Source organism: Homo sapiens, chromosome 12 (assembly GCF_000001405.40).
Source record: "Homo sapiens chromosome 12, GRCh38.p14 Primary Assembly".
In the NCBI taxonomy this organism is placed as follows: domain Eukaryota; kingdom Metazoa; phylum Chordata; class Mammalia; order Primates; family Hominidae; genus Homo; species Homo sapiens.
This window is the reverse complement of record NC_000012.12, coordinates 118633504-118655212: the sequence shown is the minus strand read 5'-3', so window position 1 is coordinate 118655212 and position 21709 is coordinate 118633504. Positions and strand designations below refer to the sequence as shown.

General features: G+C 41.5%; 1 long non-coding RNA gene across 1 annotated transcript, besides 2 other annotated features; it reads left to right on the top strand.

The window, feature by feature from the left end:
* The first annotated feature begins 4545 nt into the window (after positions 1-4545).
* LINC02460 (long intergenic non-protein coding RNA 2460) lies at positions 4546-10544 on the top strand. The gene is made up of 4 exons (NR_187536.1): positions 4546-6729; positions 7259-7338; positions 9219-9323; positions 9684-10544. It is a non-coding gene; the product is annotated as a long intergenic non-protein coding RNA 2460 (long non-coding RNA).
* Positions 9675-9969: a silencer, noted in NCBI's record as "tiled region #1346; HepG2 Repressive non-DNase unmatched - State 10:DNaseD, and K562 Repressive non-DNase unmatched - State 10:DNaseD". NCBI's record gives its function as "represses a minimal TATA promoter and a strong SV40 promoter by Sharpr-MPRA in HepG2 cells, with weaker repression in K562 cells {active_cell/tissue: HepG2 | K562}" and the evidence as "EXISTENCE:reporter gene assay evidence [ECO:0000049][PMID:27701403]".
* Positions 9702-9902: a silencer, noted in NCBI's record as "peak1996 fragment used in MPRA reporter construct". NCBI's record gives its function as "represses an SCP1 promoter by STARR-seq MPRAs in K562 erythroleukemia cells {active_cell/tissue: K562}" and the evidence as "EXISTENCE:reporter gene assay evidence [ECO:0000049][PMID:32103011]".
* Positions 10545-21709: the final 11165 nt, after the last annotated feature.

Below are 21709 nucleotides of genomic sequence, written 5' to 3'. Positions count from 1 at the left end.
GCTCACTCAAATGGCTGTTCGCAGGCCTCAGGTCCTTACCACATGTGGCTCTGCACAGGACTGCATTACAACATTGCAGTGGGCTTCCATAGAGTGAGCAATCAAAGAGAACACAAGATGGAAACCCGTCTTTTTATAATCTAATCTCAGCTTGACATCCTATCACTTCTGCTGTATTCTCCACAATTAAAGTGAGTCAATAAGTCCAGCCCACACTCAAGGTTGGGGGAATTATACAAAGGCATGAATACCAGGAGACGAGGACCACTGGGACCTTGTTAAGGTCTGTGTACCACCCCACGGCTCTCCCATTTAAGAGGAGTCCTCACCTCTGTCATGACTTTTTATCTCTCCCTTCTATGCATCCCAACCACCTGCTAAATGATTCCATGTGGACATGAGAGATTGCTGCCACCTCATATTCTTCCTACTTCAAACCAACTTTTTTGTGATCCCTTAAAGCAGCCCAAGTTGCCTTTTCTCTTTCACTGATGGCAATGCTGTTTTGTTCCTGAAGTGTTAGGCCTCTGAATCATCCTTTATTCTTTAACAAAAATCATCATTGTCACTGTTTATTGAGCCGAGCCCTGCTATGTGCCAAGCACTTTCATAAAAATTACACTATTTAATTTTGGCAGCACTATGAGATGGATATTCCCCATTTTGCAGGTGAATGAACCCATTTTTCTTTCAAAGAGTAGATCTGGAGTCAGGCCCTGTTCTGTGCGCTGAGACACAGCAATGAACAAAACAGGCACAGTCCCTCAGGGAGCTGATACCCAAACAGGAGAATTCTAGTGTACAAAGTAGTTCACAACTGAGATCATGTGTTGTATATAGTTCACAACCAGGGCTTAGACCCAAACAGACTTAGGTTCAAGCCCCAGCTTAGCCACTTACCGGATGTGTGACTTGGGATGAGTTATCAAATCTTTCCAGTCCTCTATTAAGATAATAGTACCCACCTCATGCAGCCATTTTCAGTAGTAAATAAGATACCACAAGTAATCCACTTAGCACAGAGTCTAGCACACCAAGGTTACATAAAAGGAAGTTTGTAATGATGACAAATGATGATGATAGTGATATTGCCCAACTCACAGCAACGACAATAATTGCCAACACTTATGGACAACTGCCATGTGCCAGACTCTTTTCTAAGCCCATACATGCAAGAATTCACTTGATTCTCACATCATCTCTATTATCATCTCTGTTTTACAGATGAAGAAACCGAGGCACAGAGAGGTTAAGTAACTTGTCCAAGGACACAAAGCCAGCAAGTAGAAGAAACAGAATTTGAACCCAGGCAGACTAGCTTCGGAGCCAGGAACTTGTTAGAATTTTTGAAGACTCCCAAAAAACCCAGGGAATCCCAGTGGTATGTGTGTGTCTGTCTCTAAGTCTATGTGCATAATTGTGTATATATCTATTTGTGTGTGTGACTATGTAGGTGGGATTATGTGACTACACAAATGTATTAGACTGTGTATATGTACATGAAACCATGTGTAGGTCTATGCATGTGTGCAATTATGTATGTATGATTATGTGTATTTGTACATAGGACTACATATGTTCTATGTGTATGTGTCTTTGTATGTGGCTATATGTCTATGTGGATCTAGGTGTGTGACCGTGTATGTGGCTGTATATGTGGCTCTGTGTGTTCTACAGGTGTGTCTGTGTGAGTATATGCATGTTTTAGACTGTATGTATTTGTGTGTATGTACATGTACTCACACTGTGTTGGGAAGAGAGAAAGAAACTTACATTCTGTGTAACATTATGCATTCTCTTTGCACTTGGGCATGTAGCTTTTGGTTATGAGAATTCTTGCTTATTTTTCTTAAGCCCTCTCCTTATTCTAAAGTATGATCCCCACTTGTGGTTCAGGAAATCATGAAAAAACCCCTATTGGCAACATAGAACCTGTCTCTTAAGGGCTTATAAAAAGAACTCAAAAATTCACTTAAACTGATAAATTATATGGAGATTTTCTCAGTAAAGAAGACAAATAAATTATACAGTATTTCACTCTCCTCTTTCACTCTATATGTTTCTACAATATTACAGGAAGAACAGCTCTATGGAATGCAGGTTCTGCAGTCAGCCTGTTGGTGTCCTTCTATCTCCAGCCCCAAACTTGATGTCTTCATCACAACGGCTTGACAATTTGCAAACTCCTTCCCCACTGAGGATGTCCCCACTTGGAAATGACCAGTTCAGGCATTAACAAAACCCACCTTCCACATTCCTCCATCTTTTCTTCCTTTATATCTTACCTTAGGTTTTTCCCCTTCCGGATTTCCAACTCTCTCCCTCCCCCCGCTGTTCCTTCCTTTTATTTCCTATCTTTGCCCATAAAATTAGGAAGCAGTAGTGGTTAACAGCTAGGGATTTGGTGTCAGACTCATCTCTACCATTTACTACCTGTGTGACCTTGAGTATTTTAATTTCTCAGAGCCTCAGGTCCTTACTCTGAAAAATGAGGCTTATTGTGAGGATGAAATGAAATATGTAAGTATGGTGCTTAGAATCGTGCCTGGCACATGGTAAGCACTAAATTTCTATTAGAAGTGATTATTAAATTCACAATGAATCACCATGTGGACTCAATTTTCCTGAGTAAATGGTTTTACATCTGTTAAGAATAGGCCGCTAGTCAAGGGTGAATTTGGTCTGGCTTCATGCCATGGTTGAGAAGACAGAACCAGGTTGAAACATGACCTCCCCAACATACTGACTTTGTGACCTTGAGTGAGAGACTTAAACTCTCCAGGCATCAGTTTCTTCAGCTGTCAGATGGAGGCAATAACAGTCCCCACCTGCAGATCACGAGGTCAAGAGATCGAGACCATCCTGGCCAACATGGTGAAACCCCGTCCCTACTAAAAACACTAAAATTAGCTGGGCATGGTGGTGCACACCTGTAGTCCCAGCTACTCGGTAGGCTGACGCAGGAGAATCACTTGAACCTGGGAGGCAGAGGTTTCAGTGAGCCGAGATCACGCCACTGCACTCAGAGTGAGACTCTGTCTCAAAAAAAAAAAAAAAAAAAAAAGTAGTCCCCACCTCTCAGAAATGTTCAGAATCTGGTGCATAGCAAGTTCTCAATCAGCAGTTATTATTAGAATTGCAGTAGACCCTTCTCTTTACAGCCCATAAACTCCCCTTGTACATTTTTAGCCCTTCTCCCTCTCTCTGCTTAGTCTTGAACCCTCCTCACTTCCCATTGACAGACAGAACTAGGAAAGTTCACGTGAGTGTTTATTCAATACTGTATCTGCTATCTATTGCTGTCTCAAAAACCACTCCCCAAAATTCAGTGGCCTAAAACAACAACATTTATTTTGATCACGAATCTGCAATTTGATCAGGACTTGGCAGGGATGACAATTCTCTGCTCCATGCAGCATTGAATGAGGGAGGTCAACTGGGAGCTGGATGTTCCACTTTCAAGATGGCTCAATAACATGGCTGGCCAGTTGGTGCAGACTTTAGGCTGGGAATTCAGCCAAAGCTGTGGTCTGGGGAGCGTGGTCCCTCTCCACATGGGCCTCTCCACAGGCTGCTTGGGCTTTTGCACAGCATGGGTGGCTGTGTCCCAAAAGTGAATATCCCAAGAGAACAAGGAGGAATTGCATAGCATTCTTATGAAATAGCCTGGGATGTCATATAGCACCACTTCCATGGTATTCTATTGCTGAAGGTCATCTCAAAGGTCCACCCAGGTTCAAAGGGAAGGGACACAGACTCTTGATGGGGGAGTGCTAAGGCTCTGGAAAAGCATGTGAGATTGGATATATTGTTATGGTCATCTTTAGAAAATACAGTCTGCCATACTTAGCTAATTACTCTCTCACTCCCCTACCTCCCACCCTCCAAATAAAGCATTCTACGTTAAGTAGCTACCTTCTCCAAACAGCCTTGATTAGGTTAGAGCTAAAGAAAGTCAAGCTAGCAGCCTCACAAGCCACTAAACTGACTCCGTGTTCCTAGTTGGTTTAGATTTTCTGTGTGAATCCATTGGTTTGGGCAGCTTTGCCTCCATTTATCTGGTCATTTGCTAGAGATGATTCTGAGAAAGGTGGGTGGAGACAAGAAAATAATATCACAAATACTGTAGTCAAGCTCAACCCCTCAGTGAGGAATGTAAAAGTGGAGACCCAGGAAAGTGAACTGAAGTGAACCCAATCAGATGGGTTGGTGCCAGGACCTATAACCATCTCCTGATCCCAAAGTCAGTGCTCCTTGCATCTACTGCACTGCCTTGGGGCCTACGGAATTTTCATAACATGTTTATTTGCGGATAAGAACTAGCTAAAGGTTCAATGCAGGTGGCCATGCCCTGGCCAAGTCCCTTCTGACTGGGCAGCCTCAAGCAATCAGGTTTTATCCCATGCATGTGATGTGAGTTCGCCCTGCCATGGGACAGCTGATTGGCTTAAGTTTAATCACCTGACCTAAAGGCAGCCAATCCAGAGGCTGAGTACATAAGATGGAGCTGAACCAATCAGATTCTCTCTCTCAGGAGTGTGGCTTAAATGAAAGAAGGATCTGTCATGGAAGCTGAAGGAACAGAACAGAGACGGCGTGGTCGCCACGCCTGTAATCCCAGCACTTTGGGAGGCTGAGGCGGGCCGATCATGAGGTCAGAGTTTGAGACCAGTCTGGCCAACATGGTGAAATCCCGTCTCTACTAAAGATACAAAAAATTAGCTGGCACGTGCCTGTAATCCCAGCTACTCAGGAGGCTGAGGTAGGAGAATCGCTTGAACCCGGGAAGCGGAGGTTGCAGTGAGCCGAGATTGCGTCACTGCACTCCAGCCTGGGTGACAGGGCGAGAATCCGTCTCAAAAAAGTAAAAAGGACAGAACAGAAACTGAACAGGAACAGAAGCTGAAAAGTCACGAGGCAGAGTGTGACGGTTGGAGCCACCTCAAAAGTCTTATGCAAGCTGCTATTTAGATGAGCAGAAACGACGAGTTAGAGATGAAGCTGATAGTTCGCAGAGAAGGGAGTGAAACAGTCCCAAAATAGACACAAGGTGTGACAAAAAAGAAGAGGGAGAAGACCGTCACTAGAGCTACTTCATATTCTGAGAACTTCCCTTTCCAGTTCCAGAGACTTTACCATTAAACCCCTTTAATTTACACTGGCCTATGTCCTTTGCTGTCAGTTCACTGCCTTACCTCTCTAAAACATGTAGATAGGATTCACCCACTTCACAGATAGAGAAACTGAAACCCAGAAACATTCAAGATCACACAGCCATTGAGTGGCACAACCGAGCCTGGAGTGCAGAGCATATAGGATGCCTGAGCCCTTTCTTTCATATCTTCTTTGAAAGGTTGTCCCTCTTTGATATGTCCCACTAGTTAGCATCCTCACCACCATCCCTTCCAGGGACTTGTTTCTTGGAGGCTGCCACGAAGTTTGTTTTAGCGACAAACCTGTCCTTGACAGATGACTTTGCCTTGGGATGCCATCTCCCCGATGGAATTCTTTGATTCCACCCCTTCCTCAAGCTGAGTTAATTGCCAAGACTGTGGGGGAAATTACACCACCTCCTCGGTTCACCCAGCAGGACACCAATCCTTAACAAGGCAACTTTCTGACAAAGTATGTTAGATGCCCTCAGACAAAACTTTCCTAGCAGGGGATTGGAGAAGGAGAAAAATTAAAGGCAGAATAGAAAGTGGTGGGGGAGAGAGAGAGAGATTTCTTTCCATTGATCTCTTTGCCAATGAGAAGTCTTTAAAAATCACTTTTTAGCTGTAGCCCTCAGATGCATGAGCTGCTATGCTGACAGAAGAGGGAAAAAAATCAAACTCTGAATCAGATCAAACTGTGATCTTTCATTCTGAACAGGCAGCCATCTTGGCAAATGGAAAATTAGAAATTCAAACAAAAGGAAGAGGGAATATCTGAGGTAGAGTTGGCCTTGGGCAAAAATTGTGAGGTTGGTAAGTCTGACTTCAGAACTCGACAGTGCCCCATCCTCTCCCTGCTTCCCGCCCTAGGCAGATTCTACCTTGAGTTAGGTGAGGAAAAGAGAAGCATGGCTTTGCCTCCCTCCCAGCTTCTCCTCCTAATTCCTGGTGGACCTTTTTTGACTTGTCTTATTCAGTCTTGGTGTTATATGTCCTATTACTGTTTTGTACTGACAGCAACTGCCTAGAAGGGGCTAACTGATAGTTAAAACAGTTAATTAAATAATAAATGAAATCTAAGCTGTAGATATACCCTCCTCACCATGGATATTTGAGATTTGAAAGAGAGAGCTTCAGAAGTGCCCAAATTCTTCAAGGCATAAAGACTGTTTAATGGAGGAATAGCAGATAGTGCAGTGATTGAGGGGTGTGGTGGATGCCACCGCATGCTGCCAAGACCCCCTGCTTAGAGACGAAAGACTTATTATCCTAACTTCTGGAGTACTTTTGGAAAAGTGTCCTCTGCAATCAGCCCCTTCTTGCTTCAGCTGAAGAGAGCTATCTCATCCAAGCTACCTCATCCAAGGTCATGCCCCCATCTCTGGGCAGCCTGCATCCAACTACTAATTAACAGAGGGTATACAGACCCAGCGTTTTTGCTGAGACAACTTCAGTGACAAGTATGAAGGATCACCGCATTTTCAGAACTCCCCATAACTTTGGCTGAGGTTTCTGTTGAGACTACATTGCAGCTGATTTTCTTTTTTCAATCCTGCTTCCTTCCCTTCCCCCAGTAAGTACTGATTCCAAAAGCTCTCCTTAATAAACCTCTGGCCTGGCAATCCCCAACTCACAGTCTGCCTCCCAGGGGTATCCAACCTACAGCAGGGTAGTAGAAAAGCCTAACTGGCAGAGCCAACATTCTACTGTTTGGAAATGGTATTTCCTGGAGTTGGGCAATCCTGAAGCCCTGCTTCCTGTCAGTGCCTTAAATCATACCATTCATCCCATAAGCATAAATGAGTACCTGGCTATTTACTCTATGGACCTCTAAGATTGGGCTTTCCAGGTTCCTGATTCCTTCACTGTGGCCCATTATTTCCACTCAGGGTTTCCAATATGCTTTCTCTGCATCCCTATACGGCTTGCCAAGCTACTGCCCCACATCCTGATACTTCTCCCAATCTAGTCTTTAAAATGTGCATGTTGTATGTTTGCCATCATTGGGTAAGTCTTTACTCGGCCTCCATTTCCTCATCTATCATGTGACAGAGGCTGATGATTATCTACCAACATCTATTATCTTCTCCTTCCTTTCCCAGAGTATATGGTCAACCACCCAGATATTTCTCAACCTGCCTCCCAGTGAGGTGCCATGTAACTACATTCTGGCCAATGACATGTAAGTAGGAGAAACTACATGGTGTATGTAACTTCTATATTGTGTACCTAAAAGCAAGCTGTTTTCCTTCCATATTTCTTTTCTCCTTTCTGCTGAATAAGAAATTGCAAGTGGAACAGCTGCTTTAGATCCATAAATGAAAGCCAGCTTCAGACCACCAAACTCTGCCAGTTAACAAGAGAGAAATAAGCTTCTATCCTGTTTAAGCCATTGTATTTGGAAGCCTCTTGGTGGTAGCATTTTTGCATGCTATTATGAGCAATATGTGTAAAAAGGAGTTAATAACCCTTACAAGCTTCCTAACATCTAATTACCTTCAATGAGCATTTCTTTATCCTATTCCTAGTGAACCTCATCTCTAGAAATAGGGGTTTGAAAAAAAGGGATCTCAAGAGATACAGAATGACACAAGGAAAGATCCTGAGTTCAGTGCCCAGATAAACCTGAGTTCACCCTGCACAAGCTCTGTAATCCAGGGCCAAGTAACTTAACCTTTCTTTGCCTTTGTTTTTTTCATCTGTAAAATGTTGATAAGAATTGTAGTTACTTCATAGGATGGTTGTGAAAATCAGATGAAAAAATGTATGTAATATGCTTACATAAATGCCTGTTATGTGACAGTTTCTAATTTTGTATAAACAGACTCTCATTCAAGCCTGGCTGTTATTATTAGACAGGCTGCTTTGCCTAAGTGACATGATTATGTGCTCTGGAACCAGGCAGTCTGGATTAGAATCCAAGATCCTCCACATGCAATATATATGAACTTAAGTAGGTTATTAAAGCGTTCTAGGTCTTAATTTCCACCAGAAATTATAATAGTATCTACTGCATAGGTTTTTCATAAGGATTGAAGGAGTTTGTAATTTTAAAGCTGTAGTAGAGTGACTAGTAGATGGTAAGATTTCAATGCATTCTATCTTTTGACTACGTTTATCAAAGACTCCCTTCAGGGCTGACATACTAGGACTCTCCTCACAAAAGTAAAAGGCAACAAAAGTCCTAACCGAAGGATACTGCACAGTACAATGCTCTATGAAAAGTTAGATTTGCCCTCCATAATGTGTCATTGGTTGAAATTCTCATTATTGGAGTCACACCTTTAAATTAAGGTGTGTTTTAATTTAAAAAATTCTAGCCCCAAGCCAAAATATATTAAGAAAAAAAGAGGCTTCCTGACCTATTTGACAACTCATCAGAAATCTTCTCAGCCATTTATTCATTTAAACACTTTCTAAGCAGCTATAAGCATAGCTCAAGCCTCTCAAGATACAAAAAAAAAAAAAAAAAAAAAAAAACTTAAAAAAGGAGTTTCCCAAGACTATAAGCTCAGGTTGTAAAGAAAAAGGGCAATGGCAGACACTATTAATCAACTCATCAATACTTATTCTCCTTCTTTGTTGATAACAAAATCAAATTTTGTTTGGAAGAGTAAAGTGCCAACTCTAGGTGGTGGGTTGTGATTGGTCTCAGTTGATCATGACAATCTTGTTTATGATTCCCACCTTCTCTTGCAGCTAGAGATGGTCATGTGACCCAGGTATAGCCAACAAACATAAGCAAAAGTCTACTAAGGATGCAGTCCTCAGAAAACATTTGCATTTCTGAAAAGAGGAGACAGAAGCAGCTGGTGTGATGTCTCTGCCTTTTCCCTGTTCCTCTTCTTTCCATCTTGAATATATATGAGACATCTGACACTGAAGCAGCTATTGCATGACCTTGAGATAACAAGCATCAGAGAAAGGCTGAGGAAAAAAACAGCCTGACATTTCCAAGCCATTCACTGAACCAATACTAGCAACAATCTACCTCCTGAATTCTTGTTAGAAGCTACTATAGATGTGTTTTACTTGCAGCTCAATGTATTCCCAACTTTATAGATCCTTCCACAGAATTTGGAGCTGTAGCAGGCAGATCAAGATAGGAGGTTCCAAGGTCACACAGGAGGATCTTCTTGTATCCAAGTTGTGAGGATGATATGGAGGGTAAGATGAAGAGGGTGCTAAAGCAGAACCACTTCTATTTCATTATTATACTTGTGACCACCATTTAACTCAACCCAGTCTCTGGTGAATTTCCCTATTGTGGATCTAAGTGGCTTATTGATGATCCTATGGGGTACAATTCACCTAATAGCAGAGAGACTATGTGGTTTCTGCCCTCAAATAATAGCTCTGCTCTATTTGGACAGCCACTCCCCGAGCCCACAGCTTTTTCTTTCCTATCATTTCTGTTCTAGCACATAGCAATTCTGTCCCAAAGGCTTCCTGTGCCTTTTCAACTCTGCAATCACACAGCAGTTGGTAAGACCTATTAATATTTCAACTTGTTTTTTTCAATTGCAGGGCCATGACACTCATGGAACACAAACCATCTATTTGTCTACCACAAAATGCACCCAAGTGTCTCAAAGTGCCCTTCTGGTTACAAAATGAGACACTGCTTCAGGACCTTGGAGAGCGCCCTTCCAGGTTAACACAAGGTCAATATCTCCAGGACCTCCCTGAGATCCACGGGATGGCATTTTCTCTTCTTGACATTAGCCAGAAAAAAACAAAACAAAAAAACAAAATTAAGCAAACAATATGGGCTGGCGTGAGAAAATAATTTATTTCACTTGAAATATGGCAATCTTCCTCAGAGGGAGTTTGGAGGAAAATGTTTATATTTAGCAAGATTAAGACAATAATAATTCACTAAGTACTTGCTATATGCCAGAAATGTAAGACATTGTTGTCATTTTATGTATGCAAAAGCAGAGGATTAATAAGCTACCATATAATACACTTCCTAAATGCCAGACACTCTGCTAAGATATATATACAGATATACTCCATATCTACAAATGTAGTGCTACAATAAATCTCTTCACCACAATCCTATGATGTTACACTGACATACTTTGCTATGTGGATCTATTCAGTTCCTGACTTTGAAGAAAAATGATTTAGACAGTGAAAGATACTTATATTATTGGCCCCATTTTATGTGAAGAAATTGAGGCAGGTAGTACATAGCTCTGAATAGCAGTAACAGAATTCAGTTGAGGCAATCTAGTCATAACTAAGGTGACTATTTAATTTACTGTGCAAAAATGGCATTCTTCTAGACAACCCACAGATTAGGAGAAAATGTTCGCAAACTATCCATCTGACAAGGGATTAATAACCAGAATATATAAGGAGCTCAAATAATAGCAAAAAAAATCTGATTTTAAAATGGGCAAAAGATCTGAACAGACATTTCTCAAAAGAAGACATACAAATGGCCAACAGGTATATGAAAAAAATGCTCAGTATCACTAATCATCAGGGAAATGTAAGTCGAAACTGCAATGAGATATCATCTCATCTCAATTAAAATCGCTTGTATCAAAAAGACAGGCAATAACAGATTCTGGCAAGGATGTGGAGAAAGGTGAACCCTCATACACTATTGGTGGGAATGTAAGTTCATACAGCCACTGTGGAAAACAGTATGGAAGTTTCTCAAAAAACTACAAATAGAACTACCATGTGTTCCAGCAATGTTACTACTGGGTATATATCCAAAAGAGAGGAAATCAGTATATCAAAGAGATATCTGCACGCCTACATCTATTGCAGCACTATTCACAATACCCAAGATATGGAATCAAGCTAAGTGCCCATCAACGGATGAATGGGTAAAGAAAATACGGTGTCTATGCACAATGGGATATTATTCAGCCATAAAAAATGAAATTCGGTCACTTGCAGCAACATGGATGGAACTGGAGGTCATTATGTTAAGGGAAATAAGCAAAGCACAGAAGGACAAATTATCACGTGTTCTCACCCATATGTGGGAGCCATAAAAGTGGATTTCATGAAGAAGAAGAGTAAATTGGTGGTTACCAGGGGCTGAGAAAGAGAAGGGTAAGGGGAGGGGATGAAGGGGAAAAAACGACTATAAATATATTTATTACCACCGAACTGTACACTTAAAATTGTAAAGATGGTACATGATATGTACATATTTTACCTCAATAAAAAGAAATTAAAATCAAAACAAAAGAAATAGCATTCTTCTGAATATGAAATGGGTGCTGTTAATGATAAGGCCAAAACAGCAGATGTGAATTAGGACTTTCCCAGGTAAACCAGAAATATATAGGTCACTCCAGTTGTATAAAATGACATGAAATAATGTATTTAAGGCATTTACCCTCAACCTTGAAACAGTATGTGCTCAACATGTTTTTGCTGTTTTTATTACCCACCTCTCAGAGGCAGTGTGAGGCCCTCATGAGATTAAAGGTACAAAGTGATCAAGGGATACATAGCATCACCAATGTTTTCTTAACATTGCTTCCTCCATTCTGTCCTCTTGTTTTCAAAGGAAGCATCAGTTCTGGCACATGACACCTGCCCCATCTGAACTATGCAGAGCCAGAAGACCATAAGATGACTCAACGTCTGCCTGCCTCAGGTTGACTGATGGCAAACTAGTGAAGTGCTGAATTTGGCTCAAATGCCCGTCTGCCACATGCTAGGAAAGAAGCGTGGGTTTCTGGAGCAGCCATTGATGTCTGTCTGACTGTCTGATGTAAGCTAAATTCAGACTGGCAATCAATGAAGACTCCTCCAGAGACCTCATTTTTACAGGTTCTCTTAGCTCACCAGCATGTCATTTTGCAGTGGTGAGACCTTCATTCAGAGCTTTGGCTCCCGTTTATAAGCAACTGTCTGAAGTTTCCCCAGTTCTACTTCCACTCTCCGTCATGTTTTAAATCACTTCATCTTATAGACAAGGTAAACATGTTATCAATGGCCACTTTTCTCAAGGTGGAACTAACAGATGTGAACTTGCGAAATTGTGGGAAATCTAGACAGAGCACGATGGCTCCAAAAGTCTCCAATCTGACACCCTGAATTTACAGATTAAGAAACCAAGACTCAGAAAGAGAAGAAACTTGCCTAATGTCATGTGCAAATTATTTTTGTATTAGAATAGGGGTTGACAGTAGGACTCTGGAGTTAGGCTGTTTGGATTCAAATTCTATCTCCATTACATTCAAGTGACTTTATCTTTCTATGCCTCAATTTTCTTAGCTAAAAAATGATACTAATAGCAGCACCTACCTCCTTATATTATGATGAGGATTAAATGAGAGAGTGAACATAAACTCCTTAGCACAGTTCCTGGGGTTTAGAATAAGCATCGTATAACAGTTGCTTTTTATTATTATTTCTTAAACTATAGTGACAGGATCTCACTCTATTGCCCAAGCTGGAATGCGCTGGTGTGATTATCGCTCACTGTGGCCTCTAACTCTGGGGATCAAGCAATCCTCCTCCCTCAGCCTCCTGAGTAGCTGGAATAATAGGTGTATGCTACCATGCCTGGCTTGCTTTAAATTATTTTTAATATTAATGGAGCTGATACAAGATTTCAGGTCTCTTAGTAAGAAAAAAAATGTGAACTTTTCCAGGTCTCATTTCCTCATGCATTCTTAAGAAAAAGGGCATTTAAAAAAAAAAAAAAAAAAAAAAAAAAAACAGAGGGAATTTTTTTAGGGCTTTAGATTTTAAAATGTTTTTCCTTTACAGCGTTTAATGCTCTCAATGTAATGAACTTGACCAGGATTTCTTAAACTGTATTTCTCAAAATAGTGGTGTCCTTCAAAGCTAAAAATTCCTTGAAATTCCTAGTTTGGTGGTCATACAAGTTTGAGAAATACTGGACCTTCTATCTCCCTTTCCTTTGGTGATCCATAATGCACATAAACATATTAAAGGTCTGAGAAGTCCTCTAAGAAAGAAGTTGCATGATGTTATTTAAACTAGCATTTCCCAAATATATTTGACCTTAAAATTATTTTGAATACTCCTACTGACACTGGTATCCCAGGAACATGGTTTGAGAAGCTCTGAATTAAAGTTTTTTGAAGTCTTCCCCTCAAAATCAGAAGCCAAGTCATGTCATCTGACATTCCACAGCTTCTCAACTTGACAAAAATTCGTTCCAGCCAATAACCCATATCTGACATCTTCTGCCCAACTTCAACCCCCCAGGCAGCACTGAGTCTTAACCACATTTGTCCAACTTTATTCTGTCCCGGCCCCTCAACCATGTAGCCACGGCTTATTAGACCAGAGGTGTACAACTAACTGAGGATGAACCAATCAGTTTCTACCCCAAGAAAGTCTAGCTTAGGTAGGTATCCCTCCTCTAAAGTTAAAGTTCTTGCTGCTGGAGACCCAGAAACTATTCTGCTTCTAACTTCTCAAACTCTCCCCATGTGTTGGCAAAGATAATGAACAACAACTCCAGGCCTACCTTTGATTCCTCACTTGCCACGATTCCAAGAAAAGTCTGAGAATTGAGTTTTGGCCCTGATTGGCCCCACCTGGGTGACTTACTCATCCTGAACCAATCACATAGGACAATAAATATGTGGCTCTGATTGGCTGGGCGTGAGTCACATGACCCTTCCTGGAGCCAGGATTGACCAAAAACACATCTGAATCTCACAGGATTGTAAGTATGGGAAGAGTTGTTCCTCCAAAGGACGATTGAGGTCCTGTGACCACAAGAAGGTGGAATATATTGTAGGCAGAAAAAATACAAATATCTACCACTCCCAAGTCCATATTATGATTGTTTTGGGTCTTGGGCACTTTTGCCTCCCTGAGTCCCTTCCTCCATTAAGAAAAGTCTGGCATATAACTGTGTTGGTATGAAGACAAATATAATCCGGCTGGATTATATTCATATTTTACTTCTGATTTTAAAAGAAATTAAAACGTTTTTAAGGGCCCCTAAAAGTGTCATGGGCTCTAGGCAATGCACTTACTATCCCAATGGATAAATCAGCCCTGACCAAACCTGCTCTCTGAAGGAAACAATTGAAGCAGCTACCTGTGTTAAGTGGTCAGCAAGTATTCTTCCTGTACCTGCCTTGTGCGTCATCGTCCAGCCTGTCCTGAGAGCTCATGAGGAGGGACAGCCAATTCTCCTGCAGAATTGACTTAGAGAAAAGGGAGAGAGAGAGCAAGTAATTTATGAGAGAAACCAAGTAAATTATGGGCTCCTTAATAAGCATAATCTTCCTGCTAAGGGGTTTATCTGCCATCTGCTTCCAAAGTTCATATGTATTAACTGCCCAGTCTCTTAAGGGTACAGACAGCCCCTTTCACAGATCTCTCACATGCTGTAAACCAACTTATATTCGTGGTTGTTACTTTTAGGATTACAAGAAGTCAGTAAGCTTTTACTTTTTTTTTTTTTTTTTTTGAGACGGAGTTTTGCTCTTGTTACCCAGGCTGGAGTGCAAATGACGCGATCTCAGCTCACTGCAACCTCCACCTCCCGCATTCAAGCGATTCTCCTGCCTCAGCCCCCCGAGTAGCTGGGATTCCAGGCATGCACCACCACATCCGGCTAATGTTGTATTTTTAGTAGAGATGGAGTTTCATTCACCATGTTGGCCAGGCTGGTCTCAAACTCCTGACCTCAGTGATCCACCCGCCTTGGCCTCCCAAGGTGCTGGGATTACAAGTGTAAGCCACCATGCCCAGCCACCTTTTACTTTCTTTTTTGAGAGTTTAAAGAGCAATGAACAAAGGTGAATGTTTTTATGGAGAGGAAAACCAGAGAGAGAGACAAGCTGAAAAGGATTCTGACTGCTTTGGAGCCAGAAGCCTTAAAGGGACTTTCCAAAGTTAGCTGGGAAATCTATTGCCCCTAGCAATTTGCCCCAAACTGCTCTGGGCACAGGGTCACCATTCAGTATGGTGTTGTGCACACATTTCCCATTTGCTTAACATGTTGATTATTTTTGCCATATGTATGTAATCAACTGAACCATTATTTACTAAGCTTTTGTTTAATTTAAACCAACTCACGTTTATCCACATAGCCTCATTCTGAGCAATATGATTTATGAGATCAAAAGCTTAATGAACCAGTTGCATTTTTTCTGACACATTTAATTAAAAATTAACTAGTCATATAGAAAACATTTGTAGGTGCACAGCTTAAAGCCTTCATAAGAACCCCCAATCATATGCACATTCCTGGTAGGATATCTGCCACTAATTAGCTGCATGATCTTAGCCAAGTCACTTAACCTTTCTGAGTTTCAGTTTCCTGGTCCACTTCATGGTTAATAGGCTATGATTCTGAAATTCCAGAGATATGTTTAGGTAGTTGAACTTGGCATGACTGTGTTCCATTTTTCCCCACTTTTCTACTTTTTAACTGAGCATTAATTTTAAAATGAGGGGGTAATGGGCATGGTGGCTCACGCCTGTAATCTTAGCACTTCGGGAGGCCAAGATAGGCGCATCACTTGAAGTCAGGAATTCAAGACCAGCCTGGCTAACATGGCGAAAACCCATCTCTAGTAAAAATAGAAAAAATTAGCCGGCCGTGGTGGCGGGCACCTGTAATCCCAGCTACTTGGGAGGCTGAGGCAGGAGAACCACTTGAACCCAGGAGGCAGAGGTTGCAGTGAGCTGAGATCATGCCACTGCACTCTAGCCTGGGCGATACAGCAAGACTGTATCTCAAAAATAAAATAAAATAAAATAAATAAGGGGAAGCCTATATAAGCTTTGAAAATAGATGTATCTTGAACCACTCTTTTTACCTGTATTCTCTGTACTCCAAATCTACTGATTTACCCCAAGATTCCTGTCTACCCAAGCTCCTTGAAAAGCTCAGAGGCTTTGCACATGCTATGCTTTCTGGATGCAACACTCTTCCTGCGATACTTAACACTTACTCATTCTCCACATCTCAGCTCAAATGTTCCTTGCTCAGGGAAGTCTTTCCAACCTCTTACCGCTACTTCTACATAGGCCAGGTCTTCCTATTAAATGCTTCCACATCATTCTGTACTCCAGCAGGTAAATTTTTTTTGTAAATTTCAGGTTATCACTTCATGAATGCCTGGCCTCCTCAACAGACTATAAGTTTTTTAAGGGCAGGAATATCATATGCTTTCCTTGCCATTGTGTTACCACGAATTTCTATAGTGTCTGGAACACAGTAGGCACCCAGTTTATTGAATAAATGAAATTTCCAGGAGAGAGTAATTGTAAAATTTAATATAAATACTTTTTTATCGGGGGTGGAGGGCAGTAACCTGTTCTAGAGTGTTTCAACCTTTCAGTCACAAGATTGATTTTAATGTTTTGTCTAAATTCTTTCTTACTCTTGGCAAAGAAAACACTTCACAAATAGAGTTATACCTGAATTCTGTAGTCTTTGAGAGCCAAGGAGAAGTTACAAGCTGCTTCTCTGATGGAGCTCTGGAATTTCCTCCCACTCCTTACACAAGGCAAACCCAAATGTTCTTGATGCCTGTTAATTGCAAATGAAGCCTACTGTTACCTGGTTCAAACCAATTACCTACAAAGCTGGTCAAAAACGTTCAGATGGTGGTGGTTTAAGAACAAAGAGGAAGAGAGAACATTATTTGAGCAGCAAGTAGCCAAGCAAAATCCATCATGGTTAATTATTTGCTCTTAATTGTCAGGAAATGAAGGATAGATGGAAGAGGGTTTAAACGGAATAATACTGAAAGTGTTCTACCCAAATGCTGTAGCCAAATTTGCAAGTGAGACTTTTCATAATCCACGGGTTGTTAATTATCTAAGCACGGGTCCCTCAGAGCTGCCTGAGTGAAGATTAATTAGTTTTTGAAATAATAGCTAAATTGATGCAGGGAGGGAGTTCAGACTCCAAAATAATGGCTGAAAATTTGCCATCCTATTTCTTCATTTTTCTGTGCTGGGCTCCTAGAGGACATTTATCTCCGTTGCTTTTGCAGAAAAGGCTCATTAGTCACACAGGCAGATGGCCCTTCCTAAATTTGTGACATGGAATGAAAAAGTGGCCCTGAAAAGCACACAGGGGAAAAAAACGCTGGTGACTTGCTGCACAGACTTTCTTCCAAACTCAGTTACAGCCAGACGCTTTCTTCCCAACACATGCATGGCAAGGCACAAACCTCGAAACTCTATTCTTTTCTCCTGGACTGGAAAATGGGCCTGTGGATGGAAAGAGATTCTTATGAATCCACAATTCAGCCCAAAGACTGGATTTTTGACTCAGAGAATTTATACTAGTTTTGTAGGTAGAGTCCTCTGAGATCATGGGAAACACACCTCAAAATGGTCCCACCAGAGACTGGGGCATTTGGGATAAATCCCCATTAGGGATTGGGATAAAACAATCATTTACCCAATAATTTCCCTTCCCCGAGTGGCCGAGTGTTGCCCACCTGGGCATTAACTCTGAGAACCCTTCTCCCTGCTGCCAGAGGAAGCTCTTGGGCAGAGAAGACAAATGCAGGTGGAAACTGTCCATAGCTGCAGGTAGTTTCAGACAGGCTGAGGAGGATACAGGATGGCACACCAACAACATCTGCTACAGCAGCCATCCCCCAGAGCAGGTGAAATGGGTATATGAGAAGTCTGGTATGACTGTCCAGACAGACCATGATATATTATTAAGTTGTGGACACAGGAAACACATAGCAGTTTCCACAGTTAGCCCCTAAATTGAAGTGAGAAGGATAGACCCTTCAAAATACATCACTAACTTGAAATTAAGCTGATTCCTATGAGCAACTCTGTGCAGTGTGCTTTAAAGAGGACACAGATGGGATTTATTTATGGAGTAATGATTAGAGATTCCAACAATGAAGTCTGGAGCATGGGGGCAGTTGGTACCTAATATGTGACCATATCCAAAGAAATATCCCCTGTCCTAATTATAGCCACTGGGCTCTGTCTTTTCCCTCCTACCCTAGAACTTGAGCTGAGCCCACTTTGTTTTCCTACCTTATTCACAAGCTCTAGTATTAGCTTGGATTTGGTTTTCCCAGAAAAAGCCAGAGAGGGAGGATTCAAATAGTTTATGTGATAGGTGATCCCAGGAAAGTGGATGTCATTGGTTGGGCTTTCTGGGAAGCAGGCTAAAAAAGTTAGCATATGGGATGTTTCTTAAAGAATGTACTTGGAATCAACACTCGTGGAAAAGAGCAGAAGGTAGTAGGGATGGGCAGAGAGAGAAGGTGAGCCACAGTGCAGGCTGTGCAACCCTACAGGGAGCTCTGGAGCTAGAACAGACCTTCAGAGTTGTCCCAAATTTGACTGGGATGGTTAGGGCTTTATAGCCCCACCTCGACTAGTCAGTGGATGTGGGCTTCCCCAGAACACAATGTGTCCTTGGACAAAGCAGCTCTCTGTAGATGAGGCAATGCCAAAAGGGACAAACAGCTGAAGTTAATCCACCAGCAACACTCCCAGCAGCTGGGCAGCAAGTTCATCAGTGATGGGGCATCTGGATGGTGCATCACAGTACCCAGCACATTAGGGATTGGGATAAAACAATGATATGAAATAAGCCAATAAACCGTGTACTATTGAGCAGATTACCGCTGTGGGCAATCAGAGTTATCCCATCTGTGCTAGCAAGGGAGCTTGTGTATTTATCCACCAACTCTCATCAGGTATTGGTTGAGAACTAATTCGGAGGAGCATTAACTCTCTGGCATTTCCTGAGCACAGGGCCATTAGGTTCCTCCAGTCACTGGCAAAAGCCATCAGGCAGAAACACAGGCACTGGCTCTTGGAAGCCTTAGGCCAAGAGTGCACAGAATGGTGAAAGCCAAGGGCATATGGTTGGGCCATCAGGAATATCAACTAAAGCACAAGACTGCTAACCAAGAACAACCCTAAGAGAATTGTTTTTCTACCACACAAAGCAGCTCTGACTACTCTCTGCACTGCCAAATTTATTACAGCACTCAGGGAACCATTCTTTGGTCAAACCGCAATTAGGAATGATCTACCTAAAGTACAAAACAGAACATGTCACTCCTGCTACTTAAAACCCCATCCTACCTCCAACTGTAATACAAGAAGAAGTGCAAATTTCTTACCCTGGCTGAAAAGGCCCACCTGGTCCCTTTCTGCCTCTAAACCATGATCTCTTCTCACCTTACTCTGTCTGACCCACCCAGTTATACTCAATTCATTTATGTCTTTCAGAGTCACCATGTTCTCTTTCTTCCTGGCCTTTGCATAGGCTGTTCCCCTTGCTTGTAATACTTTTTCCCCACTCTCCCATACTCCTATAGCTCTCTCAGGTCTCAGCTTAGTGGCTCTTCTTCCAGGAAGCCTTCTTTGTCCCATAGGTTGGGTGGATACCCCTTCTTTACAATCCCATAGCACCATGGATTTTCCCACTGGTAGTATTCATATATGGCATTGTATTTTCTTGTTGCTGACACATCTGTCTCCCCCAGTAGACTCTGAGCTTTGCAAGGGCAGAGACCATGACTTGCTCACCAATATGTTGTTAGTACCCAGCACAAACACCTGGCACATGGTAGTTAATAAATTGTGGTTGCATAAATGTGGGGTAAAGGTTAGTGAACTTTGCCCCATACCCACATTACGTGATGCCCTAAACCCCTCCCAATTTGATCCAGTTCCAGTTCTGGCAATCACTTTGATGTAATATAGACAATTTCACCATGGACCATGGAGGAAGTCTTTGCTGTGTGGTGTAGCGATGGGATCATACTTTTCATACCTGCGTATCAAGAAAAATCTGATATTTGGGATCTCAAGAGGAAAGACACAATGATTCAAGGAAGAAAAGGCTTCTAAAACAAAATCATGGAAGTGAAGTGTATGGAGGGATAGATGTTCCAAAAAAAGAGAAGGTGTGATTAATCAAGAAGGAAGAATGTGAATTTAATGAGGTCTCTGTGGTGGCTGAGGTGCAGAACTCATCTTTTACAGCTGCCATCCCTAGAGAAATGGATATGATAAATCAGAAATCTGGAATCATTATCAATCTGCAAAGATTCAGTCCACATACTAATTGACCTCCAGGAATGACAGTGGAATTTTGGAAACCAAATGCATCCAGATGTCCAAGCAATCAATAATCCCCAAGGAAGCCAGTCAAATTAGCTAGGGCCCAGCAGACTGTGGCATGGAAGAAATTGGACAGGGCCTAAAGGAAATCAATCCACAGGCCAGAATTGGAATGGAAATCAGAAAGCAAGGGTTGACACTGGTACAACAATTCTTCTTTCAATTAATGCTTCTTTTTCCATAAAGTATAAACTACATGAGGACAGGAATTCTGTCTATCCTTTTACAGATGTATCCTCAGGGCCTATCACAGTCCCAAATATGTGACAAATCTTCATTAAGTATTGGTCAAGAATTAAAAAATGAATCACTAAATGTTATAGTACTCTTTCTTAAAATCTTGCAATATCTTGTTGCTGTCAATTTCTCCAGTTTTGTCTCTCCCTTTTCTCCACCATGCTGTTGAGCCTGTAGGTGAGGTGAAGATATAGAGGAACTGGAGCTTTCATACGTTGATGGTGGAAATGTAAATTTGTACAAGTACTTTGAAAAACTATCTGGCAGCTTGCTAAACTTTATAACTGAAGTTGAACATAGGTCTGGTGTATGCCTGTCATCCCAGCATTTTGGAGGCCTAGGTGGGACGATTGTTTGAGCCCAGGAGTTTGAGACCAGCCTAAGCAACATGGCAAAACCCCGTATCTACAAAAAATTAAAATATTAACCAGGTGTGGTGGTGTGCACCTGTAGTCCCAGCTACTCAGTAGGTTAAGGTGTAAGGATCACATGAGCCAGGGAGTCAACTCTGCAGTGAGCCATAATTGCACCACTGCACTCCAGCCTTGGTGACAGAGCAAGACCCTGTCTCAAAAAAATAAATAAAGTTGAACATAAGCATACCTGATGACTCATTCCTAGGTATTTCCTTAACAGAAATACCTAATGTATGTCTAATATGCAAATACCTAATATTCATTTATGTTCACTATAAGACACGTGTAAGAATGTTCATAGCGTCACTATTTACGATGGCCCCAAATTGAAAATGACCAAGATGCCTATAGTAGAATGGATAACATAGATAAATATATTGTGGTATTGTCTTATAATGGAATATGGTAATGAAAATGAACAAACAACTACAGGCAATCAAATGGATGAATACAACAAATATAATGTTGGGTGAAAGAAGCCAGACACAAGAGTACTCGTGTGTTATTCAATTTATATAAACCTCAAAACCAGGCAAAATATTCTGTTAGAAGATAGGGAGTGGATGCCCTTGGCAATGGTAGTGACCAAAAGGCGATATGGAGGATGTGGAGATGTTCTAGCAATACTCCACTTCTGGATCTGAGTGTTGGTTACATGGATATGTTGTTCAGATTTCAAATATCCGCTGCACCACATGCACTTATGATCTGTGATTTTTGCTATACCTTGGTTATACTTTATTTTAAATGTTTCAGAATTTAAAAATTATTCTGGGCAATGAGCTGTAAACCCAA